General features: G+C 58.2%; 1 protein-coding gene across 11 annotated transcripts in view, besides 5 other annotated features; it reads left to right on the top strand.

The window, feature by feature from the left end:
- Positions 1-23,527, top strand: part of RAB3IL1 (RAB3A interacting protein like 1) — a 49,023-nt gene extending 25,496 nt beyond the window's left edge. Inside the window, exons 1-10 of one of the 11 annotated variants that reach the window (XM_006718647.5) lie at positions 544-787; positions 12,522-12,774; positions 13,168-13,263; positions 13,358-13,435; positions 14,144-14,362; positions 15,946-16,074; positions 16,170-16,282; positions 18,287-18,386; positions 21,448-21,514; positions 22,471-23,527. In XM_006718647.5, the coding sequence (XP_006718710.1) occupies positions 636-787; positions 12,522-12,774; positions 13,168-13,263; positions 13,358-13,435; positions 14,144-14,362; positions 15,946-16,074; positions 16,170-16,282; positions 18,287-18,386; positions 21,448-21,514; positions 22,471-22,550 (1,287 nt within the window). In that variant the 5' untranslated portion in view covers positions 544-635 and the 3' untranslated portion in view covers positions 22,551-23,527. Of the gene's footprint in view, positions 1-543; positions 788-3,261; positions 3,472-12,521; positions 12,775-13,167; positions 13,264-13,357; positions 13,436-13,725; positions 13,821-14,143; positions 14,363-15,945; positions 16,075-16,169; positions 16,283-18,286; positions 18,387-21,447; positions 21,515-21,896; positions 22,446-22,467 lie in introns of those variants that run through there. The other 10 variants (XM_005274140.6, XM_011545196.3, XM_047427380.1 and 7 more) reach the window with 10 other exon arrangements.
- Positions 20,421-21,392: an enhancer, noted in NCBI's record as "H3K4me1 hESC enhancer chr11:61666908-61667879 (GRCh37/hg19 assembly coordinates)". NCBI's record gives its function as "activates a minimal SCP1, AML or CMV promoter by ChIP-STARR-seq in naive H9 embryonic stem cells {active_cell/tissue: H9 hESC(naive)}" and the evidence as "EXISTENCE:reporter gene assay evidence [ECO:0000049][PMID:30033119]".
- Positions 20,421-21,409: a biological region, named in NCBI's record as "H3K4me1 hESC enhancer GRCh37_chr11:61666908-61667879".
- Positions 21,240-21,309: an enhancer, noted in NCBI's record as "active region_4805". NCBI's record gives its function as "activates an Ori minimal core promoter by ATAC-STARR-seq in GM12878 lymphoblastoid cells {active_cell/tissue: GM12878}" and the evidence as "EXISTENCE:reporter gene assay evidence [ECO:0000049][PMID:35858748]".
- Positions 21,360-21,409: an enhancer, noted in NCBI's record as "active region_4804". NCBI's record gives its function as "activates an Ori minimal core promoter by ATAC-STARR-seq in GM12878 lymphoblastoid cells {active_cell/tissue: GM12878}" and the evidence as "EXISTENCE:reporter gene assay evidence [ECO:0000049][PMID:35858748]".
- Positions 21,760-21,809: a silencer, noted in NCBI's record as "silent region_3408". NCBI's record gives its function as "represses an Ori minimal core promoter by ATAC-STARR-seq in GM12878 lymphoblastoid cells {active_cell/tissue: GM12878}" and the evidence as "EXISTENCE:reporter gene assay evidence [ECO:0000049][PMID:35858748]".
- Positions 23,528-27,226: the final 3,699 nt, after the last annotated feature.

The raw sequence follows: 27,226 nt of genomic DNA, 5'->3' as shown, positions 1-27,226 counted from the left end.
CCTCAGGCTCCCGAGTAGCTGAGATTACAGGCATGCGCCACCATGCCCGGCTAATTTTGTATTTTTAGTAGAGACAGGGTTTCACCATGTTGGTCAGGCTGGTCTTGAACTGCTGACTTCAGGTCATCCGCCCGCCTCAGCCTCCCAAAGTGCTGGGATTACAGGCGTGAGCCTCCGCGCCCCACCAATAACAAAGTTTTAAGGGGATATTCAGGTTTGTGGTCACAGGCAGGAGGGCCTGTCTAGGGCTACACAGCCAGCTATGACAGCTATGACAGGATCAAGGCTGGACGGGCTCTTTCCAACACCCCAGCCTGCGTGGTGAGGGGACAAGCGGACCATCTGGGAGCCTGGCTGAAACACGGGGCCTCCCCTAGAGGTGTCTCACCTCCCCTGGCCCAGAGCCCAGGAAGGAGGGCCCAGTGTCTTCTGCTGCCTGAGGAGCCACAGGAGTTAATAATTACGGGGTTGAAGGAGATAGCGGCTGTCCTGGGAGGTGGTGCCTCCCTCCCAGGCTGCTGCTCTGGGGAGATAGCAAAGGTTAGTGTGAGGCTCAGCCTGGTGGGGGGAAGAAGGCTCCTGCTACCTCCCTTCCCGGCACCCTCCAGAGGGACCCTCAGTCTGGCCTTGCAAGCATGGACTCTTCTGAGGAGCACGCTGGGTGCCCCGCCCGAGGGACATGTCCCGTGTTCCTGGCCATGAGTGCAGGGACTGTCCGCTACGCCCCATCAGGCCTGTGCCCTGTACTTGAGGGGAACTTGAGAGAAGAGCCCTGGGGCACAGACAGGTGAGCTCAGGACCTGGGGCATGGAGGGGAGGGGGAGTCTTGGCAAGCTTCAGGGCAGCCAGTGTGAGAAGCTGGGCTCAGAGAGTCCTAGGCAATGGCTCTGATTGTCTTGTCCAATTTGGTGGCTGTACAGAGGTGGAGACTGAAGCTCAGAGAGGGCAAGACACTCATCCTGGGTCACACAGTGAGCTGAGGACACACCTGTAAGTCCAGAATCAGGGCCTGGGTTGTCCAGGCTGACTGTCTCCTGCTCCTCAGCTGCCTTCAGCCAAGGGTCTGTGGTCAAGGCTGCCAGGCTTGGGATGGAGCAGGCAGAGGGAGATAGAGGGAGGGAGGCTGAGGAGGGCAGTGGCTTGTAGGCAGAGGACACAACTTTTATTTATCCCTTCCCTGCCACTGGCCAGACACCTAGCATGTGCTCAGGAACCTCTTGCTGCCTGGCTGCACACAGCTGCAGCTGCCAGTGAGCCTCTAGTTTCTGGGTGGTCTTTTTGGAAAACGGGTGTAAGAGGACTCAGCCCCACTGCCCCTGGCTGGTGTGATATCAGGCAGGTTCCTTAACTTCTCCGAGCCCATCCTTTTCAACTGAGGAGCAAGTTCAGCTGAGCAGGAGGGTCCTCCCTACTGGGGGAGGCAGTGAGCCCTAGGAGTCCATGGTAGCAGGAAGCATGGATGACAGGCTATTTTTGGTTAGAAATTGAGTGTGGATGCTTCCAGAGTGGTGACCACAGACTTGTCCTTCAAGACCTCGCTCAAGGGCCTCCCCGGTCCACCAGACCTCCCAGGCTGAGGACTCTTCCTCCAGGGACATAGCCCTGAGCTGACGCCTCCTCCACCCTTTATCTCCCACTGGTCTGGGTTGCCATGACTTATCTCCTGCCGGGGCTTGTGAAGACTTGGAGGGCAAGGGCCCTGTGCTGGGTTCCTTTTGTGTCATTTTCTCCTCCTTCTCTAAATAGTGAACAAAATAAGGGCCAGGAAGACAACAGTTGCTCAAGACCAACTGATGAGGGATTCAAGCCAGCAAACACATGTGGACATCTGCTTTGGGTGGGCCAGACCCTGAGCTGGGCTGGGGGTGGGGTAGGGGAACATAGCTCCAAGAAAGAGAGAATCCCTGCCCTCTGGAAGCCGTGGCCATGGAAACAACTGCCCTGCTGAGTGATGGCTATGGGACGCCTGGGCTGAATGATTCTAGAAAGTTGGAAGGGATGCTATGGAGAACTGCCTAGGTTGTTCACTGCACAAAGTGCTGGCCAAGGGAGCAAGCAAGGCATAGAATCCAGCCTCGCCTCCACTCTCCAGATTCCATACCTTGCTGTGCGCTGTGCCCAGCGGGGAAAGAGCATTGTCTATTTGTGCCCTGGACGTGGAGGTCTTAGAGAATACGTCCCCCATCCTCCATCCTCCACCAACGTGGAGCCCCAGGAGGGCAGAACCTATGTCTGTACAGTTTCCTGCTGGGTCCCCAGCCCCTTGCATGCCCCATAGTCTATGCTCAGATGGAGTGGCTGAATGTATGAATGAGTAGAATGAATGAATAAAATGTATCCTCAAACGAAGATCTGACTAACTTGAGCCTGCGGCCTGAGTCAGTGGGCCTGGAGGGGTAGCACTGGGACCTCTGGTAGCACCTAGAAGGGGAAGTACCTCCCACCACGCTCCCAGTCCTCCCCTAGACAGGGAAGGTGGGAGCCATGGTACCTGGCGGGAGAGAAGACGGGTTCTGCTCTTACTGGTCCAGTCCCAGGCTGAAGTTGAGACGAATGATCAGGACTCAGAATGGGTGGGACAGAGGAACTGAGGGACAGGTAGACCAGTCGTCTGGGATTCAGGGAAGGTTTCACGGAGGATGTGGGACCAGACAGGTGTGTGTATGTGTGTGTGTCGGTGGGGGTGGGGTGGGGAATACTATCCAGAGGGCAGATGGTGAGTAAAGGCAGGGATGGGCAGAGCGTGTTAAGTGGCAGGAGGCTGAGTGAGGAGAGTTGGACCAGAAGTGGAAACTCCTTCGGGATAAAACTCAGAGAGTAGGACTCAGAAAACTTGTTTCGGGTTTGTCCCCTCCCCTTCCCAGCAGGCAGGATGTTGCACAGGGACAGGCACTAAGCAGACAGCCTAGGGAAGGAGGGCCGGGTGAGGAGGGGGGAGGGTGTCTGCTGGCCTTAAGTGACAATCTGTGTGAGAATCGAAGAGCTGAGAGCTCGGGAGCCATTGTAGGTTCTTGAGCAGGGGTGGCCCAAAGTGGGTGGTGCGGAGGGCGACTGGAGAGGAGGAGTCAGCTGGGGAGTCTGAGCGCGGCGCGGCCCGCGGGATGTTGGGGGCCGGGTTCCCTCCGAGCGCCGTGGTCTCCCTGTCCCGGCGCGGCGGGCCGGGTGGGGCCAGGCCTTGGGAGCGCGCGCCGGATCCCAGCGCCGGGCCGGCGGAGGGGCGGGGCCGGGCACGTGTCCTCGGGCCGCTCCCCCCTCCGCCACGTGACCCGCCCAGGGCAGGGTCGGGGCTGGGCTGGGGGCCGCGAGCCCAGGCGTCTGAGACCTACTGACCGGCCGCGGGCAGGGCTGACAGGCGGTGGGGCGGCTCGGCCCCTGGCGGAGTCGGCGGCGGGCGGGGACGCGGCGCTGGGAGGACGCGGCGGCGCTGGGAACGGACGCCTGGGCGCCCCGAGGCGCCGGGATGTGGAGCGGGTAGGTCCGCGCGCGCTCGCGGTCCCGCGCTGGGTCTGGGCCGCGGTCGCCTCCCGGGACGGGAGGATTTCGGGGGTCCCCGCCGGGTCTGCGCCGCCACCCGGAGGTGCTGTGCGCCCCCGCCCTGCCTGCAGGCGAGCCGACTTGCAGCCAGGAGACTCCGGGGGAGGGGTCGGGGGTGTCTCTCGGGGTGCAGGGTGCGAAGGGTGGGCAGCCGACCGTCCCGGGGTGACAGCGTCAACTCCTCTTAGCTCATCAGGAGCGCAAGTGAGAAGAGTTGGGGTGTGGGGAAGAGTGTGCACGACTCTGGGGCATGCACCTAGAGGAAGGACCCCCAGCCCACCCTCCCAACCTGTCCCTCAACCCCTTCGCTGGATGAACTCTTGGAAAGCAGTGTAGCTGGGAAAGAGGGGCTGGGTCTTTGCCAGGGTGGCTCCCAAGTTGAGGGCAGAACCTCCTTGTGGGGCTCTGGAAGTACGGAGGCTCTCAGAGGTGTGGAGTGGGAACCCCCCCCGCCCCGGCCCCGCAGCCTGGAGTGGGGTAGCAGAGACTCTGGGTCCTGGATTAGTGGCCCCAGTGGCTGTGTCTGTTCAGGCCACTGGTTCTCAGGGGCAGTTGCAGTTCCTGGCCCATCTGATGTGGGACCCCTGCCCTGTATGTGCAGAAAGGTTGTGGTGTTTTTGTGGAGTTGGGCAAACACTTCCTCTTCCCCGTGGCCGGGAAAGACCAGGTCGTGGAGGAAATGTGGCCAGAATGGGGGACAGGTTGTACTCCTGTGCCCCCTGGGCCAGATGAGTGGTCCCAGGAGAGGGCTACTGCCCAGCTACAGCTGGGGAGTGAGGGAAGCCCCCCGGAAAGGCAGGCAGGATCCACTTCACTCCATGGCACCTAGCAAAGGTTGAGCTGCGATGCTAGGGGAGGGATGGCCTTTCATCCCCAGCAGGGGGTGTGGAGAGAGTGGGCTCCTGTTAGGGGTGAGGTGTGGAGAGGCTTGGGACTTTTTTTTTTTTTGAGACGGAGTCTTGCTCTGTCACCCAGGCTGGAGTGCAGTGGCGAGATCTCAGCTCACTGCAACCTCCGCTGCCTGAGTACAAGCAATTCGCCTGACTCAGCCTCCTGAGTAGCTGCGACTACAGGCACACACCACCACACCCGGCTAATTTTTGTATTTTTAGTAGAGACGGGGTTTCACAATATTGATCAGGCTGGTCTCGAACTCCTGACCTCAGGTGATCCACCAGCCTCAGCCTCCCAAAGTGCTAGGATTACAGGCTTTTACCACCACGCCCTGCCCTAAGACTTGAGACTCTTTTTTTTTTTTTTTTGAGACAGAGTGTCACTCTGTCGCCCAGGCTGGAGTGCAGTGGCGCGGCTCAGTGCAAGCTCCACCTCCCAGGTTCACACCAGTCTCCTGCCTTAGCTTCCCGAGTAGCTGGGACTACAGGCGCCCGCCACCACGCCCAGCTAATTTTTTTGTGTTTTTAGTAGAGACAGGGTTTCACCATGTTAGCAAGGATGGTCTCGATCTCCTGACCTTGTGATCCGCCCGCCTCAGCCTCCCAAAGTGCTGGGATTACAGGTGTGAGCCACTGCACCCGGCCTGGGCTTGAGACTCTTAAAGGGAGAGAGTTGAAGGCCACTAGTGTATTTGTTGGCATTGTGCTTGGAGGAAGGAGGCTGGCTTAGGAGAAAGTGCTTGAGGTGGGTTTGTGGTACCTGGAGAGGTTAGGGCAGTCCTGCCCGGGGTGAATTGTGTTTGGGGAGCAGCCTCGTCTGCCGGAAGCCTGTGTCTTGTGCCGGCTGGGTGGACTCAGGCAACACAGCCCCTGAGTTAGTTGCTGTGTGACCTTGAGAGTGTGGACTTCCTTCTCTGGGCCTCTAGGTAAAATAAATGGTTTCTGGGGTGGGAGTGATCGCAGGTCAGAGAATGTCCTTCCCTGGAGGCACCCAGGCCAAGGCCAGACACAGCTGAGAGCCACCAGTAGATGGATGGTTGCTTCAAGGAGAGTCAGAGAGCCTTATATCCTGGGCAGGGACCCCTCCCCACCATCCAGCCCCCCTGCCATATTCCCAGCAACACTCTGGATGAGCCAGCTGCCAGGCTGACCCCCACAGAATCCTCAGTATGGCTCACTTCCTGCATGCACCCCTGCACCCCCAGGGGCCTAGCTGGGTGCTGAGCTCATATCATAATGGGTGCTTCATAAATGCAGATGGAAAGGATGAGGGGCAGTGAGAAGCTGGCGGAAGGGGTGAGGCAGAGCTTGGGGGTTACCTTGAGCTCTGTATTTTTATGGCCCCCCATTTGGGTGAGGAAACAGGGATTTAGAGTCAGGGGCCAAGCTGCTAGCCCCCACTGGGTGCCTGGTGTCCTAGGAGCTCACCCAGACCCCAGCAGCAGTTGGGAGGTGTCCTGTTCAGAGTCATACTTGCCAGGTTACTCTGACCAAGTCTGATGACAGCTCTGGCAGGTGTATATTTGGGACTGTTGATCCTAGAACAGGAGGAGCTGGGATTAGGAGTTGGTGACCCCAGCGGGGCCAGTGATGTTTCTGGGCTTCGTTTCCTCACCTGTGAAATGAACTGAGATCTTTCTCTTGGTGGCTGTGCTTTGTTAATGGCCAGGTCCTGGTCATGGCTCCAGCCCTGGGCTACTCTTCTGGGGTGGGCGGCAGTGGCTGGACTCTGCCACAGCCTGGGTGGGTCCTCTTCTTTGGGACTCCTGAGCATGGGCCCTGAACTCCAAACCCAGAGGCAGCTCCAGTCTGACTTTAGGTGCCCCTCCAAACTGGGTTGTCCCCCTTCCGATTCCCCACAGTTTCACACATTCATAGTTTTGGGTGCCAAGCCTGCTCCAAGGTGACGAGGTGAGGACAGCGTCTTGAGTACTTCTGTATCTAACATGGTGCTGGACACTTGGGACTTGGTCAGCAGAAGCCAGCGTTCAAGTTTCTGCATGACACTGTTCCAGCCCCCTGGTCTCAGTTTCCCCAGAGACGGGGCTCATCATACCTATGGCTAGAGAGGGCCAGGCATTGATGGATGGCCCAGGAATGAGATGAGACCACTCCAACCTCCCAGGGGTTGGGGAGCATGTTTTTGCGGCAGGCAGGGCTGTAGGGGCCATCAACTGGCTGTGTGATCCTGAGCAAGTCACTTCACTGCCCTGGGCCTTGGCTATTCTAAGGGCATGGATCTGTGGGCTCCTGCCTGTAAGGCCCAAGTCACAGGGGACTAGAGGCCGTGAGACAAGAGTCTGAAGTATGGCCCGAGGGCTCCAGGTCAGGCACACAGGCCTCTTCATTGGGAAGGGGTTGTATAACCCTCACTGTTGCTGCTCCCTGGAAGCCCTCCGTGATCTAACTGCCTACTCTACCCCTCAACAGGTGGAGATCTTTCCTGCTGTTCCTTAATCAGGACATGGGTGTTGGGGGCAGACATCCTCATTAGAATCCTGCTTGTCCTAGACCCTCCGAGCTCTGCACATGATTTATGCCCAATAGGTCTTTGGAAATGAGGTAGCGGGAGGGAGATGCAAATCAAAATAGGATATGGTAAGAAGGGGGCTGCCTGGTCGTGCAGATTGGATGGATCATGGCTGGTGGGGTGCCTGGCACATAATGGGTGCTCAGTATACACACTAGCTATTGGAGGTCTTCGGTGTCAATTCTTGGACTGAATGGGCAGGGTCGCCACAGGCGCATTTGAGGATGTACTGCGTGCCCAGCCCTGTAGAAGAGTAGTGAGATGCGCCCCCTCCTAGGCCCTGTGCTGGCTCCCATGGAGAGACAGGGCTGGATTCCCCCGCCAGGGGTGGGCTGGACTGGCCTGGTGGCCTGGGGCTATGGCCGGCGGAGGCGTGGCCTGACTCACCTGCTTTAGGTGTTCTGATCTGCTTCCCATCCCCAGCTGTTCCTGACCTTCTCCCCCACTCCTCCTCCATGGTCTCTACTAGGACATGCTGTTGTGCCCTTCTCCCTACTCTGGCTCCCCTTCCCCTGTGGCCCAGGCCCACCTTGGTTCCCACCTGTCCCTTTGTCCCCTCCTTGACTTGAGCTCATTGGTTCCTGGCCCAATTCAGTGAGACTCATGACGATCTCTTTCATCCCCGGGTCCCAGACACTCTTCGGCTCTGGTGTCCAACACTCTCGTCCTTTCTGGCTCTCAAGCCCTTGTCCTCCCTGACAGCCCCTCATCCAGGCTCAGGCTGCAGCTGCTCCCCGAAACCAGTGCCACTCGACAGCGTCACCCCATCCTGCCTATTCCCCCTCAGCTGCCTACGGGACGTGCCACTTCCCAGATGCCTCAGCCACCCACTTTCCTGTCCCTGAAAGACCCCCTCCCAGTTCCTCACTCCCAGCATGGGTACCGCTGTTCTCAGCTTTCACCTTTTCCTTAGTTTTGAATTATCTTAATTATTGTTATTGCTTTTTCCTGCCCCCCCATCCAGCCCCTGTTCCTCCCACAATTCCCCCTTCCCATCTTTGTTTCTGTGTGTCCCCTCTGCTGTCCCCTCTTAGCCCAGGTCCTGCCTGGCTGTACAGCATTCTTGGGTGGCACCTCCAGTACTTGGGCGCTGTCTCAGACTTCCTCAAACCCCATCTGCCTCTTGCCTCACTTCTCCAAAACCGCCATTCATCCCCTTTCCTCTGGGTGACAGGCCACGTGATACGCTATGCCTGTACTCTGCATTCAGTTCCCATCCTGCCACTTCCTTGCTGTGCATTCTGGCCAGGTCACCATCCCTCTCTGAACCTCAGGGGCCTCATCTGGAAACCAGGTGGAGGAGCGCATCTCCCTGCAATTGTCCCGAGCTTCCAGGCCATGACACCTGTGGAGTGGTGGGCTGGCGTGGATGTGGCCTAGCGCTTGGGAACCTGACATGCTTGTGGGTTTGGGGCTGAAGACTTGGCCGCTCTCTAGGGGAGCCAAGCTTTGCTGGGCTTGCAGGCTGGCCTGAGAGCTGGCCCACCAACCCTTTCCTGGGACTCCCTTGGTCCCTGGATGTTAATCACATGGCTGTGAGCCTCCGTCCCCTCAGTGTCACCGCAAAGGCTGAGCGTGAATCTGAACAGGCCCCTGTGCCAAGGCACCGCCCCGGGGAGCCAGGCCCTGGGTCGGGGTTTCTGCAGCCTCCCTAGAGGCCTGGGCCCTGGCAGCCCGCTGAGTGGTCCCAGTGTGCCCTCCCAGCCGTCTCCTTCGTCCAGTTTCAGAACCACCCTTGCTGTCCCCTCCCCTGCTTATTGAATGAATCCATTGTGCCCATGACCAACAGGGGTCTTTAGTTCCAGGAGGTAACTGGACAGGGTCATCTTGGGCACTGGTTGAGGAATAGGCTGGTCTGGCCACTGGCCAGGCCCTGCTGGCTTGGGGACACTGAGAGACCGAGGGCCACGGAGTCTAGGTCTCCTTCTTATTTTGTGGGTCGGGGCAAGAGCCCTGCTGGCCCTCCTAGGGTGGGCCTGGTGGGGTGAGGATTGTGGTTACTGCATTTTCTTTTGGTTGTGTGTTTCCTGGGGAAGTGACCCGTGGGGCCTTTCCTGTATGAACTGCCTGGGCCTCTCGGCAGTGGGAGCTGGCTTTGGGATGGGGGATGTTGGCTGGGTGCCCCATCTACCTCTGACCTTGACTCCTACCCTCTGAACAGGCTCCTTTCCAGAGGCATCTGTGGCTCATCTCAGATGCTGGGCTCTGTTTCTGCAGGGAACGGGGACTGAGGAGGTTTGTACAGAGAGCGGTGGACCCGGACTGAGGAGGGTAGGGACGCTGGGCAGCAGAACATTAAGTGGTCCCTGCTTGCCCCACGACTGAGTTCACCACTGACTTGGGTGTTCACAGCCAGGTTTTCAGGCCTCTGGTCTGGGAGGCTAAAGTGTGTGTGAGATTGGAGATTCTGGCTTGGGCTGGACCCGAGGAGCCCAGGGTCCCTTCTTTGAAATTTCTGAGTCTCAGGAGTTGGCCTTGCAGCCTGGAAATGAGGAGGAAGAGGGTCTGCAGATTCTGGCTACCCTCCAAGGGCAGGTCAGGCCCTTCTTCCCTCCTGCTCCTGCCACCTTTGGCGTTGGGGAGTTGGTGGCTACTGGGTGGTCCCACTGTTCCCATGTTCCCACACTTCTTGCCATTGGGATTTGGCCTTGGGCTCTTCTACTGGGGGTGATGGGAAGGATGTCACAGACTCTGTCACAGGCCTCCTGGACCACTGTTTCCTCTGGCTACAAAATTGGGCCCTGTCCCCACTCTGCCCCACAAGGCAAAAATGAGAGCCTGTTGGGAAAATGGTGAGGTCAGCCAGCCACACCTCCAGCCTATGTGCTTGGGACCAGCAGGAGAGAGAGTTAGTCTTTCACTGTGGCCAGAGGCCCAGACCACACTGGTGGATGAAGCTCGGCCCCCATGGGAGGGCCGGCAGCCTGGTTCTCCTCGGTCAGGGCATAGGCAATTGCAAGAGTCCTCTGTCCTGTCCTGTGCTGTCACCTCTTGCCCTTGGCCTGCAGTGAGCAGCCCCCAGCCCAGCCTGAGTGACTATGGCCATCCTGTCCTACCTGAGGACTTGGGCCATGATGATTAAGGTGGGGACACATATCCATCACTCCATCAACAGTGTCTGTGCCAGACAGGGCTCTCAATACCCTTGTTCGGGGAAGTCTTCTTGGCAAGGGTCCACAGGCCTCCAGTTTAAGCTGTGGGACCCAGAGCCCAGGCAGGCTTCGTGAGTGTCTCAGCCAAACATGGCTGTGGATTGAACATGATTCACCCAGCACCAGGTCAGGACTGCTCTTAGAGCTCTTGATTCTTAGAGCACCTCCTGCAGGATTTCAGCTCCTATCCCTCAGGTGCAGAAGCAGGTTCAGAAAATTTCAGTAGCATTCTCAGGGGCTCATGTGTACCCCAGGTCAGAGGCTGACATGGACCCCAGGCTTGCCCCATCTGGCCTGTTCTCTCTGCCACAGCTCCCCCTGCCCAGGCCCTGCCTTCTGGAAAGGGGGTTTCTGGGCCTGCGCAGAGTCTGAGAAGCCAGTTCGGGCCAGAATTGGGTCAGATTTCCCTACTGCAGCCAAAGAGGAGCCTCCGAGTCTCCCTGGGCCCAGCAGCGCTTTATCTTGAAGCAGATGCGCCGATTCCAACACTCACACTCCGCACCCACCTGCCCTTCCCCTGCAGCGGGGAAGCTTTGGGCCTGGGCTTGAAGACCTGGCCACCTGTCCCAGCACTGTCACTGACCAGCTGCGTGACCCCTGACAAGTCCCTTCACTCTGTGAGCCTCCGTCCCCTCATCTGTAGAATGGGACAATACCACGAGTGCTGTTGAGAGAGTTTTATGTTTGTTTGTTTGTTTTGAGACAGAGTTTCGCTCTGTCACCCAGGCTGGAGTGCAGTGGCACAATCTTGGCCCGGCTAATTTTTGTATTTTTAGCAGAGATGGGGTTTCACCATGTTGACCAGGCTGGTCTCGAACTCTTGACCTCAGGTGATCCACCTGCCTCAGCCTCCCAAAGTGCTGGGATTACAGGCGTGAGCCACTGCACCCAGCTGCTGTTGAGAGAATTTTAAAGGAGACAGCGTGGTCAGAGACCTGTGGAAGAGTCTGGCAGAGTGAGTCCCCAGGGCACAGACCCCAGCCCAGGGCTCCGCCATAGCTCTCAGGCTGCGGGGAACCCTTGCCAACAAGACTTCCCCAAACAGGAGTATTAGGAGAGAGCCCTGTCTGGCATAGACACTGTTGATGGAGTGATGGATATGTGTCCCCACCTTAATCCTCAAGACCCACATCCCTGCCAGGCAGGACCCAGCTTGAGGAGCCTTGAGGCCACACTCTGGGCCGGTTCCAGAGCAGAGGGCAGGTGGGGCTGGGCAGCTGGACCGGGCTGTGTGAAGGGACTCATTGCTGGAAGTGGGCTCCTTGCAGGAGTCTCTGGGGGCCCATTTTCTGTGTGTTAACCAAGGGAGAAACTGAGGCTCAGGGGCTGCTTGGTGACCTTCCCAAGGTCCTGAGGACAGGGAGGGGAGACTGGTCCACAGACTTGCCTCTCACTCCTCCCTCTGCCTCAGCCGTCCTGAGTCCCACTTTCTCCTTGGCCTTGCCTTCCCCCTCTGGTGCAGCCTCCCTGAGCCCCTCCCCCCAACTTCCCTCACTGATATCAGTGGCCCGCCCAGCCCCCCATCCCCAGCCCTGGTTGCTGCGGCTCAGAAGCTGCTGGCTCAGGAGCCTCCAGCTTTTGCTGAGTGAGCGAGTCCAGAGGTGCTGTCTTGGCACAAAACACCGCTGGCCGGGCCCTCGCCCTCCCTTCCCTCTCCAGGGTCCACTTTGGAGTGGAGAGTGTGGGTGGGGGCGGAATGAGGCCTCACACCACCTCCAGGGTCTTCAGCTTCAGGGAAGGGAGGGTCCTGAGGCCCAGAGAAGGGGGTGTTTGCCTGAGGTCACAAGGCAGGCCAGGGGAGAGCTGGGACTGCTCCCCACCAAGTCCAGGGGGACAGGAAGTGGGTCTGTCTTGTCCAAGCTGTTTGCAGAATCTTCCTGCCTCAGCCCTGCCTGCCCTGGCCTCATCCTTCCTCTCTGGTCCACCCTGAAAGGGGCAGAATTCGCATTAACTGTATCAGTGAAGGCAGCTCCTGCTTGAGTGCATCCGAGGTGTCAAGGTTTTACCCACACCTCCTCTGATCATTCAGTGACCTTTGAGGTAGGGCCATTGGAATAGGCTTCACTTAATACAAGTGGGACTCAACCCTGATGCATTTACAGTCACCTGTTAGACAAAGACGCTGACCACCTACTGTGTGCTGAGCACCTACTGCATGTGCCAAACACAGCCCTCAGCCCTGGGCTGGAAGGGGTGGTTGACAAAGAGTAATAAGCCTCTTGCCCCAAGAGACTTTGTGCTTGGACATTTGCCCTTGTAACAACACTGATGATAGCTGGTAGGGTCCCAGTTTTCAGATGGAAAGGCTGAGGCTCAAGTGGCAGGCACATTGCCCCGGGGCGGTTTCTGGACTCAGCTCTCCAGGCCTCAGGACCCCACCCTGAACCTGCTGATACCCTTGTTTGTCTCCAGCCCACCCCAGCCAGACCAGGGCCTCCCGCCGCCCCTTGCAGCTGTCCCGGTCCCCTGGAAGAGCACGGACCCCTGCCAAGGCCACAGGGAGTCCCCAGGAGCCCTGGTGGAGACCTCTGCAGGGGAGGAGGCCCAAGGCCAGGAGGGCCCCGCAGCCGCCCAGCTGGACGTGTTGCGCCTGCGCAGCTCTTCCATGGAGATCCGAGAGAAGGGCTCCGAGTTCCTGAAGGAGGAGCTGCACAGAGCGCAGAAGGTGGGTGCCTGCAGTAGGCTGGGGGGTCTTCGGTGGGGAGAAGTCAGGTTGGGAGAGCTGTGGGCTCTCATCAGGTGCCCAGAGATGTGCCCAAGGGAGAGGGATGTGCCCTCACCGAGGCCAGCTGCTGGCCAGGCCTGTACTGGGCGCACCGATGGTCACCCGTCTTGACTGCAAACGTGCCCTGAGCTCTGATGAACTGGCAGGCAGGGCTTCAGCTTCATGCTGTGGCTAAACGGAAAAAGCATCACAAACTGTCAGGCACCAGAGGAAATAAACTCTGAGCCCCACATAAAATGACGAGGGGATGGAACCTGGTCCGGTGGGCCTGGTCCCTCCCGTGCCAGGCCTGGGGATGCTGAGGTGCTCAAGTGCCTGCCTCTTTTCCTCCAGGAGCTGAAGCTAAAGGACGAGGAATGTGAGCGGCTGTCCAAGGTGCGGGAGCAGCTAGAACAGGAGCTGGAAGAGCTGACGGCCAGCCTGTTTGAGGTACACCGGCTGGGCGCGGGAACAACTTGGGGAATGGGTCATCTGGGCGTCCGTTGGCTCCTCACCACTCACGCAGGGACTGCCTTCTTCCTAGGAAGCTCACAAGATGGTTCGAGAAGCCAACATGAAGCAGGCGGCATCAGAAAAGCAGCTGAAGGAGGCTCGGGGCAAGGTGAGGCCCATCCCCGCCTGCCCAGGCCAGCCCAGGCACCCCCCCTGCCTCCCGGCTCAGCGAGCACTGAGCTTTGCTGCCCGAGTGGACGCTCACCTGGCCCGGTGGGGCCAGCAGGAATGGGTGAACCTAGGCCCAGGGAGGGAAGGGAAGGGTGGGGGTCTGAGATCACAGGGCCCAGTGTCCCGGGGCTCCATCAGTGATTCTGCTGCATGGCAGAGCCTTTTCTGGGATAGTGCTGGGGCTGGGAGGACCCTGTGATTATTGTACCTTCTTCCCTCTCCTCCCAGCCCCACTTTACAAAGCAGAAACCTCACTCAGTATGGCTGTCTGAGCCTGGGCAAGTCGCTTCCTCTCTCCAAGCCTGGTTGCCCATCTGCAAAATGTGAGGCCTGGGCCTTTCCTGGCTCCTGGGGGCGGTCCCAGAACTCTCATGGGAGGCCCAGCCAGCTCCCAGACACTTGTTCCTAACAGAATCCTGCTCACAGAGTGACCTTGGGCAGGCCATGTCGCCTCTGTGAGCCTCAGTTTCCCTATGTGTAAAACGAGTGTCTGGGTCTCTGCCTCGAAGGCTGTTCTGAGGGCGTCGGGTGGGACTAAGTGCCTGTCACTGCAGGGGTGCATTGTCCTGAGTTAGGCTGATAGGCGGTGGCAGCCAGGATGGCATCCAGTCTGGGTGAGGGTTGACAGCCATCCCATCCCATGCAGATCGACATGCTGCAGGCAGAGGTGACAGCCTTGAAGACGCTGGTCATCACGTCCACACCAGCCTCTCCCAACCGCGAGCTTCACCCCCAGCTGCTGAGCCCCACCAAGGCCGGGCCCCGAAAGGGCCACTCTCGCCACAAGAGCACCAGCAGCACCCTCTGCCCCGCCGTGTGTCCCGCTGCGGGACACACCCTCACCCCAGACAGAGAGGGCAAGGAGGTGAGGGTGGGAAGCGGGCTCTGGGCACGGGGAAGGGTGGCAGTGCCTGCGGTAGGCAGGGTCCGAGCCCAGTGAGGACCAGCCTGCCCCATGCTGTGTGACCTGGAGCCTGTCCTGCGCCTCTCTGGGATGTGAGGGCTGGGCAGGTCCTTTCTCTCCAACCTCCTGTGATCTGAGGCACTTGGCCTGCAGCCTCCAGGGTATACCATCTGGGGACCTGAGGCCCCCTCCCTGCCCCACTGACTCCAAGCAGTAGGTAGTGGTCTCTGCACCTGAGGCTGGCTTTGGCCCTGAGGATCTGGGGCCTCCACTGAGACACACACTTCCTTGGCCTTAAGAGGCCAAGCAGCAGCCACTGGGCCTCAGGGGAGAGGCTGCCTGGACCCCGTGTGGCCACAGCCTCGAGCCCCAGGACCACCTGGTGACAGCCCTGTGCTCAAGGGGTTTCTGGCACCCTCTGACTGTGGGGCTGAGACAAGCGTGGCCTTTGGAGAGGTGTCTCCGTCCCACCTCAGCTGGCCACACCAGTTGCTGGGCCCAGGCTGGGCTGACACTCATGGTCATGGGTCTGTAGGCAAATGAGGCCACCTGTCAGCACCTCAGCTTTCTCACCTGATAAATGGGGCCTCCCGGGGCTGCTGGAGGAACCAGAGACAGGGACATCAAGAGCTGAGTTCAAGGCTGCACCCAGGTAGTGCCTCAGAGGGCTGTGGTGCCTTCAGCTTCCTGGGTCCCTGGCGCCAGCCCACTCGACTCCATCCTGGCTTCCACCTCTGTCTCCAGGGCCTCCAGGGAAGACGAGCAGGCCCTCATCCACCTCCTGAGCTCTGAGCTTCTGAATGTACATTAACTTCTCCCCTTCCTCCTGTTCTGTCTCTGTGCACCTGTCTACCTGTCTGTCTGTCTGTCTGTCTGTCCATCCGGCCCAGCCCGGGCTGGCCCCGCTGCTCTCCCTGCTCCTCTGCGTGGTCCCCAGCAAGGCGGTTCACCTCACCTACGAGCCGGCCTGGCCGCTCCCACCTGGGGAGCCCCCAGCCCCTGCCTCCACTCCCTCTCCCTCCTTTTCCCGACAGGTAAATGGCTCCAAAGAGGGGCCTCCCACTTTGCCCCCTCCCAGCCTCCCTCATTCTGCATGTGGCCTGGAGCAGGCCAGCAGTCACCTCTGAGGTGTGGGCCCAGGGCAGCCTGTGTGTGTCCCCTCCTGTGTGCACGTGCTTGTGTGTGCTTGTGTACCTGCTGGTACCTGTGGCCTCCTGCTAGTTGCTCTTTGACTTTTCCTCCTCAAGGAGGCACTGAGGGTCTTCAGGACAAAGCCCTGCACCCCACTCTAAAATCCAGTAGCGCCAAGAAATTTAACACCGGCCTGGAAACAAAACTTTTAGTTCTAAATTCTTTGGTGCAAAGGGCAGAAGGGAGCTCTGCTGCTGCTGGACTTGGCTTCCCTGCACGGCTGCTGGGGATCGACCTGCTGGCTTGCTGGGCCTGCCCCACGTCCTCCCTCGCTCCCCTTCAGCTCAGCCTGCATCTTCTATGCTGGCCCCAGTACCCTGACCGCCCCCACCCTCGCTTGCCCTCCCCCACAGGTGGACACAATCCTGTTTGCAGAGTTCCAGGCCTGGAGGGAATCCCCCACCCTGGACAAGACCTGCCCCTTCCTGGAAAGGGTGTACCGAGAGGACGTGGGCCCCTGCCTGGACTTCACAATGCAGGAGGTGAGGCATGGCAGGGGCGGGGCCAGCTGGGGGACACACCCCTCCGCCAGGGCCCAGCCCCTTACCACCCTGCCTGCCTCCCTGGTCTGCCACAGCTCTCGGTGCTGGTACGGGCCGCCGTGGAGGACAACACGCTCACCATTGAGCCGGTGGCTTCGCAGACGCTGCCCACAGTGAAGGTGGCCGAGGTTGACTGTAGCAGCACCAAGTAAGCTGAGGGTCTTAGCTCCTTCCTGCCCATGTGGGAAAGCCCCGCCAAGCCGTGTGTTTACTGTGCCGAGGGGTGGTCAGGATGCAGCAGCGCCGACAGGACAGGGACAGTTGCTGCCCCCACAGGGCAAGGAGGCAGTTTGGCAGGTTTCCTGTGGACCCCCAGGCTTTCCAGAGAGGCCGGGAGCTAGGGTCTGCCTCTTCCTGACTGGTCTGCTCTGTGCCCTCCCCTTCTTTTCTTGAACCATGATTATCAGTTGCTGGCTGTGCCCCTGCCAATAAATAACGACGCAGTAGCCCTGGCATTTGTCCTCCAGCTACTCACCTGGCATTGAGCAGGGGAGCAGCAGAACAAAATAGCCAGGGTGGAGCAAGGGGCAGAAATTGGGGAGGATTTCACCTTGGCAGCCAAGAGCCTGGCTGGGGATGGCTGGTGCCCTGGTGGGAGGCTCATCACGGAGAGGGAGCATTTGAGCCAGGTTTTGAAGGATGAATAGAAGTTTGCCAAGCAGGGAAGGGCATTTCAGGCAGAGGGAACGGAATGTGCAAAGGTGTGAGAAGCTGGAGTATTAACGGAAGCACCACTGGGGCATCTGGCTAAGCAGTGGGGGGACAGGGAATTGGGGTGGAGGCTGCAGAGGCTGTTGGGGCCAGAGTATAAAGAGCCTTCACAGGTTTGGGCTTTAACCCACCAGCCAGTGCGGCAAAAGTCATCAATAGGCCGGGTGCAGTGGCTCACACCTGTAATCCCAGCACTCTGGGAGGTTGAGGCGGGTGGATCACTTGAGGTCAGGAGTTTGAGACCAACCTGGCCAACATGGAGAAAACCCCATCTCTACTAAAGATATAAAAGTTAGCCGGGTGTGGTGGCACACGCCTGTAATCTCAGCTGCTCGGGAGGCTGAGTCAGGAGAATTGCTTGAGCCTGGGAGACGGAGGTTGTGGTGAGCTGAGATTGCACCACTGCACTCCAGTCTGGGTGACAGAGTGAGACCCTGTCTCAAAAAAAAAAAAAAGTCATCAATAGCTGCCACCTGAAAAGAGGCTCTCTGGTCCATCAGAGAGTCCCAGTGAACCAGGAGGCAACAAATGCTCTGATAAGTCCGCAGCCAAGGAGCTTTTTAAACCTTCATTTATTTGGGATTCTCCCCATTTCTTGGGAATTAGGAAAGCAAGAGAGAAAGATGATGGGTTAGATGTGGGTTTTTGGAGGAGCCCTGGCTCTGATGTGGAGAAGAAAGAGAGCGATGAGGCAGAGAGCTGGCCAGAAGGAGCCAAGGGGATGCAGGCCAAAAGTACTGCTGCTGTGCCCTGGCCTGGGGACTTGGTGACCAAGCAGAGGGTGAGGAGGAGAGAGCCGAGCAGATGATGGCCAGTGAAGAGCAGGTTTGGGGAGTGGGGCCCAGATGGGGGTTGCTCAGGGCCTGTGGAGACCCTTCATGTGGGTGGCTGAAGATGCTGAGCGACGTCATGCAGGACTGGGGGGAGGAGAGAAGAGGGCATGGGAGAAGGCTCTTAGACGGGGTTGGTTGGCATGCGGCTGAGAACCATGGGGGTTAGTGGGGTCAGAAGGCCTGCATGGATGAAGCAGGGGAGCTGCTGGATGTTGGGAAGCGGGAGGCAGCCAGACCTCAACTCTGGCCTAGTTGGGGGAGGAGTGCCTGGTCTGAGTCCCCAGAAGTAGAGGGAGAGGCATATGCAGAGCCTGCAGAGGGTGGGACTTTGTACACCTGGCATGAGATTAACCAAGCTCTCTTGCCCAGTAGGGGCAAAACAAGGGTTCTAGGGGTACAGCTCAGCTTAGTTCGAGGTCTGTCCCAGGGATGGCTGGGGCCAGCTCCCTTCTCTGCCTGGCTCTGGGTTCCTTTGGAAGCCGGGTGGGGGAAGGGAGGCCTGCCCCTCCCCATGCATCCTCTCAGCTGCTGCATCTTCCCTGTATGCAGGGGTGAGGGAGAGGGGCAAGCCCCAGCCAGCCCCCGTGACCCATTTTGCTTTCCCCTAGCACATGTGCCCTGAGCGGGCTGACCCGCACCTGCCGCCACCGAATCCGGCTCGGGGACTCCAAAAGCCATTACTACATCTCGCCATCTTCCCGGGCCAGGGTGAGTCAGCCTTTGCAAGCGTTACTTGACTCCTTTGGGGCCACCTGGGTGCTGGGACACTGGGCCCTGGGCCTGGGAGTATGAATAGCACTACACCTTGATTTACTTATTTTATTTATTTATTTTTTGAGACAGAGTCTTTGTCACCCAGGCTGGAGTGCAGTGGCACAATCTCAGTTCACTGCAATGTCTGCCTCCCAGGCAGACATTAGCAATTCTCCTGCCTCAGCTTCCCAAGTAGCTGGGATTACAGGCATGTGCCACCACGCCCAGCTAATTTTGTATTTTTAGTAGAGATGGGGTTTCACCACGTTGGCCAGGCTGAACTCGAACTCCTGGCCTTAAGTGATCTGCCTGCCTCGGCCTCCCAAAGTGCTGGGATTATAGGTGTGAGCCACCACGCCCAGCCTTACATCTTGATTTACAGAGCAGGGTACAGGCTCAGAGAGGCGCAGAGACTGACTCGGGCCACACAGCCAAGCCAAGGGCAGTGGTTTGCTATTACGGTGTAACAAATTACTATCAACCTGGTAGCTTAAAATAGCGCAGTTCCCCATGTTGGAGTCTAAGCACTACTTACTTACTGGATTCTCTGCTCAGGGACTTGCAAGGTCGCAGTAAGCTGTCAGCAGACTGTGTTCCTTTCTGGAAGTCAGGGTCCTCCTCAAAACTCACATTGTTGGCAGCATTCAGTTCCTTGTGTTTGAAGGACTGAGGCCCCTATTTTCTTGCTGGCTGCTGGCAAGGGGACACCCTCAGCTTCTAGAGGACACCCGCAGTCCCCTGCCACAGGGCCTTGTTGCACAGGGCAGCTGACTTCAGAGCCATCAGGAGGGCCACTCTCCAGTCGGCTGAGATGCAGCCTTATGTATGAAATGTCATGGGATGACATCGCCCCCCTCTGTCATTCAATGTCACCTAATCCAGGAGTGATGCTAGAGTTCCAGTTAGAGTGCGGGGCTCCTGACGCCCAGACTCAGGTGCTGGCCGAAGCTTTGGAAAAGGTTCAGCGGTGCGTCTGGTGCACCAGCCTTAAGTCGGCCGTGAGTGCCAAGGGGCCTCTAGGAATCCCAGCTCCCACCCTCCCCTGCCGAGTGACCCAGACCAGGACAGGGGTTCTCACCAAGCTGGGGATTGAGGACAGGGATTCCTCTTCCTCTGTCCCTCTGTTGACTCTTAAGAGGATTGAGGGGAACAAGAGAACATGTTTGGAAACACGTTTCCAGTGACACAGCTTGAGGAACCATCTCAGGCCTGCTAGAGGCTCCTCGCAGGGGAGCAGGTCTAAAGGGGACAAATGGTCCCTTTGCTGGCAGCAGACTATACTGTCCTTGATGAACTCCACAAGGCATCCGAGCGTGAGTCCTCCCAGCGGTGTGCTGAGCACCCATTTACCAAAAGGGAGGCTGAGCCTTGGCAGAGGAAAGGGGTGTGTTCAGGGCCACACACCGAGACCTGGGATCCTGGCTCTGAGTCCACTGCAGCCCCTACCCTGTGGATTTGTGCCCACTGAGCCTTGTTCAGTGGCCACTTATCTCCATCACCGCTTTCCAGGCCCAACCATGGCTCAACAGCAGGCCCCACAAAAGATGTTCCCGTGCTCAACAATGTCACCTCTAGCACTTTAAGTCCCTGGCCTGGGTGTCCTGCTGCACTGGATGAAGCTGGGGGTGGGAGATGAGGTGAGGAGGGTCTGAAGTTTTAGGATGTGGTCCCTGCCCTGAAAGACCAAGACATGTGGGGTCCACAGGGAGAAGTGTTTTCTCCCTAGCACACTCCCTGGAGAGGGAAAGCCCCCTCCCTGCTACTCCCTGCTCATGAGCCTCTGTGGGCATCCACTGTCCCTGCTCCTGTCCTGAGCTCTGCCCTGCCCCACCCTCCTGCCGCAGCCTCTCCTCAACCCTCCCTGTGCAGCGGTGTCCCTGCCACGACGGGCTGGTCCCCCGACCTCGCCCCGCTCTCTCGCACCTCCCTATCTTTGCCAGGCCACCACCGTCCCGCCCCTCCCCGAAGCTTCTCCACTCCCCAGCCTGCGGGTGCCCCTCTCACTTGATGTCCCTCCCCAGGAGTGTTGGACATTCAGTAGGGGCTGTTGCGGGCGGGCACAGCCGCCGGCTACCTTCCACCCTGTCTTAGGCTGGGTTCCGAAGAGGCAGAGCCTCACCTGGAGATTGTGTGCAGCTCCCAGGAGAATGAGGGAAGGGACGGGGGAGTCCAGCCAGGATGTGGCCTTAGCTACAGCCCAGCTTCAGCCCCATCCACCGGGCTCTTAGCAGAGTTGATTCCACCCTGAGGCAAGGGGACTGTCCTTTCTATCTCCACACAAGTCAGTCATCGGCTGAGGTCTACAGGAGGAGTGAGTACAGAGGGGGGCACCTCTGAGCCATTAGTGCCCCCACTCTCAGCAGCTGGGAGATGGGGCCCGGGCCTGGGAAGGGGCCCTGGGCCAGGCACCAACAGTACCCTCTCCGTGGTGTGAGTCCTCATAGCAGTGTCTGAGCCAACACAGGGTCCCCGGGGCCTGGCATGGAGCAGGCCTGAGGCCCCAGGGGCCCCGGGCAGCCCAGGTGAGCGGCTTCTGACCCCCTTTCCTTTCCCAGTGTTATCAGTAGCACTGGACTGAGGCCTGGCTGGCCCAAAACTCCAGCATCTGGAGCAAGCCGGCCTGTGAGAGGGCGAGTGTAGACTCCGGGACAGCCTGCCCGGTTCATCTCACAGCTCTGCTGCATGCTGGTTCATTAGCTCCGCCATCTCCGTGATGGATGTCAGCGGCTTTCCCCGGGTGGCTCCGCTTTCCCCCATGTAAGATGGAATAATAAGCGCGTCTGCTCCGTTCGCTGCAGGCGCTTGATGAAATGGCTGCTGCTGCTGCTGCTGCTATTACAGCAGGGCTAGTCATGCTGTTGTTGATTACTACTTGAAAGCCCAGTCCCAGCTGAGTCAGGGAGCACTGCCTGGCTCTGCAGGGACCTGGGGCCTCCTGCTCTGGACTCAGATCCGCCTGTCAGGGGACCCCCAGCGTGGGGCTGGCAGGTCACACCGTCCCCACCTCTGCCCACAGATCACCGCAGTGTGCAACTTCTTCACCTACATCCGCTACATCCAGCAAGGCCTGGTGCGGCAGGACGGTGAGCGCCCCCTGGTGGCCGGTGCAGGGATCGCACACGGGAGTGGGGCTGGATGGGGAAGTGCCCTCTGGGCCCACCTGCCCCTAGTGGAGGCAAGACTCAGCTAGGAGGCTGGGGAGCGGGGAGGGTTGTGGTTTAGTAAAGCGTTCACAAACTTCCTGGGTGCTGAGCTCTGTACCTGAGTCCGTCCGGCTGGTCTTTCTCCTGTCCCCAAACCTCTCCCGGCCCCGCACAAGGGGGCCACCCCTGTGAATCTCTCCCTGGCCCTGGAGGTGGTGGCCCCTCCTCCTGGTCACCTGAACACAGGGTCACCCACCTCCAGCCTTTGCTCCCACTCCACTCCATGCTGGACAGGGCCTCCCTCCACCCCCTCCCCCCACAGCCCATTCTGCAAGGCCTGGCTCCCCGCTCCTCCACCAACCTTTGCTCGCTGCTGAGTCTTCTCCTGAACCAGTCTGGCCCGACCCTCTGAGTAAGGAGCTATCTCCTCTCCATCCTGGGGGTCAAGTCCTCTTGGAGGCCAAGGCCAAGGCATGCTGGGTGTTGACACCTGCTAGGTCCCTGGATGGCCGCTGTGGTCCCCGCCTCACTGCGCAGGGTCCTTGTGAGACCCCAGGGAGGCATCTGTGCCTTGTCTAATGTAGTTCCCAGGTCTGGACCACCGCTGTGGCATGTGACAGCGTGTACCTGCTTGTCTGCGTCGGGCTGTGGGGGTGGCCGTCAGTGTAGTGCAAACAGATCCCTCGGGTGTGGTCGGCACTCAGCAGTTTCCAAGGCTCAAGAGTGGAGCCTCAGAGAGGTCCAGCCACTCACTGAGGTCATCTGTTTTGGGGGCCGGGGACCCTAGGGTGCTGTGCCAGCTGCTCTGTCCAAAGCCACAGGAGGGGACCTGGCCATCTGCCCGAGGTGACCCTGAGCTGTCCCCGACCTGTTCACCCTCTCTCTGCCTGCAGCAGAGCCCATGTTCTGGGAGATCATGAGGTTGCGGAAGGAGATGTCACTGGCCAAGCTCGGCTTCTTCCCCCAGGAGGCTTAGGGCGCGGCCCAGGCCTGAAGGGGAGCTCTGAGACAGAGCAAACACCCACCCCAGAACAAGCCGACACACAGGGAGACGGGGGCCTGGAGCCAGCCCTGAGCCAGAGGCAGAATGGATGGACAGACAGGCCATGGAGGCAGCACTGAGCCAGCACCACACGTCCATCCTGGGACAGACGGGCCTGGACTTCACGGCAAGACCCCCCTCTCTTCCCCACTGGGTTCTGCCACCACCAGGAGGATTTCAAGAAAGCACCAAAGACCAGGGAGCTCGGATCCATACTCGGGGGGCCTCAGCCCTTGGGAGGGGACACCTGAGGCAGCCAGCGCCCCCTCCCCAGTCCCCAGAACTGCCTGCAGGTGCCTTGTTGCTGGCTTGTCTTCAGAAAGGGACTGTTCTGGGTGGCTGGATCTCCAGGGTACCCTCCACCCCAGCTGCCAAGCCCTGGGCCAGCAGCACCCCCTTGTGGCCATCCTGTGCCTTGTTCCCGGTGGCCTCCCTATTGGACTACTAGGAGGGGCTGGCAGGGCCTCCATAGCACAGAATTGCCCCAAAGCCTTGTTAAGATGAGTCAAGACCCCTCCCCCGCTTCCTCCCTTCCTTTCCCCCTTCCTCCCTCCCCCTTCATAAAGGCCTCCCTTGTCACCTTCCCTCCCACCCCGTCTCAGCCCTGTGCTCCTGGAGGCCCTGCTCCCAAAACCGCTGGAAGGACTGGGGCACTTTCTGCCACAGTAGAACACAGACAGGGCTTCAGATCACCCACGCCTGTTTTCAGCTGTGGGTGGCCATGCAGACACGCGCCCTGGCATGTGGGGCCTGGGTGGGCAGGCAGGACCTGGGCCCTCCCACCCATCAGAGCCCACTCAGGACCAGCGTTCGGAGCTCCCACCTGGACGCATCCCTCACCACGTCCGGATTTCCTTCTTTGGATGGAATGTAACGCGATCTCTATTTAATAAAGGCAGGCTTTGTTGGTACAGGCTGGGTGGCCACGCGCCCTCACTCCTGCACCCTGGGGCTCTGGCCAAGGCTTGGGCATCTGAAGGAATGAAACCAAATCCTTTCCCTGCCCGCCCTCGTGCTTGGGATTAAACCCAAATCCTGAAGCCACCCCACCTCCGCCATCACCACTTACTTGCTGTGGGGAGGACTATTTGAGTCCTCCCTTAGTATTCAGAGGGCTGTGGGTTACTGGGGGATGAGCCAGGCCTCCCTCTCCCCGTGGCTGGTGGCCTGCTGTTGGGAAGAACGGCACCAAGGCTGGCTCTCCCACTGCCTCACTGTGGCACCTTGGCCAGGTCCTCCCCTGGGTCTCCTTGCATCCAGCAATGGTTACCTCCAGTCTCACAGAAGCCTGCAGCTCAGAGGCAAAGCATCGAGGCTGCCTGTTGCTCAGTGGGACAGTGGCAGGATTGATTGGTGATGTCTGCTGGAAGCACAGGCGGGGACCATGGAAGCCCAGGTCTTAGACGAGCTCTCAGCAAGGGGCAGCAGTCACAGTTGGAAGAGGTGGGGGTGGCCAGGACCTCTGAGGACCCAGAGTGGGGCTGGGAAGGTGTCTTGTGGTGGCTGAGCCCCTCCCCACCTGTAGGGATGTGGGCCCAGGCCAATAGATGCCTTCTTGGGGTGGTGGAGAGCATAGCAGCTTCTGAGTCGGGTCAGTATCTACTGGGCTGGTGACACCTTGTGGGGACTTCCGTATTGGCCTGAGGCCTTGGTGCCACTCAGCTGGTAGGTCAGGCTAGCTGTGGACTGGCCAGGACCACAGGAAGCCCTCCACCCATGCTGGGGACACCTGTGCTTGAGCTGAGAATGTCCAGGGGGAAGACTGGCAATCAAAAACATACCAGGAACACGCACAGGGCATCAGATGGAAGAGAGGAAAGCAGGCAGGCAAAGGAGGATGTCAGAAAAGGGCGCAAGAGGCTGTGTTCACTGCTGTGATCCCCACAGCCTCTCTTGCGTGGCAGTCGCTTTCTCTCCTCTCTGTCAGTCCTGGGTCAGCTGGGGGGCCAAAGGAAGTTGGAGGTCTGGGCCCTGGAGCTGTCCACCCTACCCCCAGCTTCTGTGCTCCTGGCCCAGCAACACTGAAGACCTAGGAGACACCAGACCACACTCCAGGGGCCAGGCAGAGGGTCCCATACCCCAGACCCGCGCTGCCTGCCCCTGCAATGGCATAGCCTGCTGTCAGACCCCAAGTGGGGTCATAAACAGAGAACTGAAATGCCTGGAGGATGGACATACACTCTCAGTATCTCCCAACGAGAGATAATAGCTGAGCACTGACTGTGCCAGGCATGATTCTAAACCCTTTAAATGATCTAATTCATTTCATCCTCACAGCAACCTTATAGAGTACTATTCTCCCATTTTGCAGATGAGTAGAATGAGGCACACAGAAGTGCCACAGAGGAAATGATGGCCCCGGGATAGGAATCATGAGGCCAGCCCTGGAGCCCACAGTATGAACCAGCATCCTGGATTCCCTTTCCTAGACACCTGCAATGTGCTTAAAGGTGGCTGGGGAGGGTTAGCCGACATCAGCCACGAGGGAGTTGTTCCTCTTAAATGGATTTTCTAGATAACCCACTTGGGCCTCTCTGAGTACCCCTGGCACATGTGAACATTTTAACCCTCTTTGGCCCCCTCTTCAAACCTAGCAACGACTCTGGCCTCTGAGGGTGGAGGCGCTGAGCCGAGACCAGCTGCGCACTGGCGTGCTTCACTCCTGCAGGATGCTTTCCAGTCTGCCAAGACTGTCCTGATGGAACTCCTGCCGGGGCTGTGCACCTGGGCAAAGTCGCTCCTCTCTGGGCTTCAGTTTCCTCATCTGTGAGTTGGAAATATAGGACTAAATGGCTTTCGCAGCCTCCTTGCCTTTTTCATTTTATTACGGTAAAAAACCCATAACTTGTACTACCTTAACTCTTTTTTTTTAATTGTTGTTTTTGTTTTGTTTTGTTTTGAGACGGAGTCTCACTCTGTCACCCAGGCTGGAGTGCGGTGGCGCAATCTAGGCTTACTGCAATCTCCGCCTCCCGGGTTGAAGCAATTCTCCTGCCCCAGCCTCTCAAGTAGCTGGGTCTACAGGCATGAGCCCCTATGCCCAGCTAATTTTTTGTGTGTGAATTTTTTTTTTTTTTTCAGTAGAGACGGGGTTTTACCATGTTGGCCAGGCTGGTCTTGAACTCCTGACCTCAAGTGATCCGCCCGCCTCAGCCTCCCACAGTGCTGGGATTACAGGTGTGAGCCACTGTGCCTGGCCCTCCCTTAACCATTTTTAAGTGTATAGTTCAGTAGTGCTAAGTCCATTTACAGTGTTCCGAAACATCTCCAGAACATTTTCATTTCACAAAACTGAGACTCTGTACCCATTAATCAACCCTCTATTTCCACCTCCTCCCAGCCCCAGGCAACCCCCATTCTACTTTCTATGAATTTCACTGCACGAGGGCCCTCATTTAAGTGGATGATGCAGTATTTGTCCTCTCATTACTGGCTTCTTTCACTTCATGTCCTCAGTGTCCATCTGTTGTAGCATGTGACAGGATTTCCTTCCTTTTTAAGACTGAATAATATTCCATTGTATGCATAGACCACGTTTTATTTTTTATTTTTAATTTTATTATATTATAATTAATTATTACTCCAGGCTGGAGTGCAATGGTGCGATCTCGGCTCACCGCAACCTCCACCTCCTGGGTTCAAGCCTTTCTCCTGCCTCAGCCTCCTGAGTAGCTGGGATTACAGGCATGCGCCACCATGCCTGGCTAATTTTTGTATTTTTAGTAGAGACAGGGTTTCTCCATGTTGGCCATGATGGTCTCAAACTCCTGATCTCAGGTGATCCGCCCGCCTCAGCCTCCCAAAGTGCTGGGATTACAGGTGTGAGCCACCGCGCCTGGCCTGACCACGTTTTGTTTATCCAGTGTCTGTGGATGGACAGTTGTGCTGCCTCACAATGACCTCTTGGCCATTGTGAATAATGCTGCTAAGAAAATAGATGTACAAATATCTCCTCAAGACTCTGCTTTCGGTTCTTTTGGGTATATGCCCAGAAATGGAATTGCTGAATCATAGGCATTTTAAAGCCATTTTCATACTCTTTTCTATAGTTGGCTATAGCACTTCACATTCTTACCCACAATGCACAAGGGTTCTGCATCATTGCCAACACGTGTGATTTGATTTTTTGAGACCAGGTCTCCCTCTGTAGCCCAGGCTGGAGTACAATGGCATGATCTTGGGGCACTACAACCTCTGCTTCCCAGGCTCAAGCGATCCTCCTACCTCAGCCTCCTAAGTAGCTGGGACTACAGGCGCACGCACCACCATGCCCTGCTAGTTTTTTTTTTTTTTTTTTTGTAGAAATAGGGTTTTGTCATGTTGCCCAGGCTGGTCTCGAACCCCTAGGCTCAAGAGATCCTCCCAAAGTGCTGGGATTACAGGCGTGAACCACCATGCCTGGCATGATTTTTTCATTTATGTATTTATTTATTAAAGACGGGGTTCCTGCTATGTTGCCGAGGCTGGTCTTGAACTCCAGGGCTCAAGCAATCCTCCTGCCTCGGCCTCCCAAAGTGGTGGGATTCCAGGCCTTTTTCTTTTTTATAGGAGCCCTCCTAACAAGTGTGAGACAGTATTTCATTGTGGTTTCATTTGCAGCTCTCTGATGA

This window comes from Homo sapiens, chromosome 11, assembly GCF_000001405.40.
Source record: "Homo sapiens chromosome 11, GRCh38.p14 Primary Assembly".
NCBI lineage: Eukaryota > Metazoa > Chordata > Mammalia > Primates > Hominidae > Homo > Homo sapiens.
Note: the sequence above shows the minus strand (reverse complement) of the source record. Positions and strands in the feature narration are given on the sequence as shown.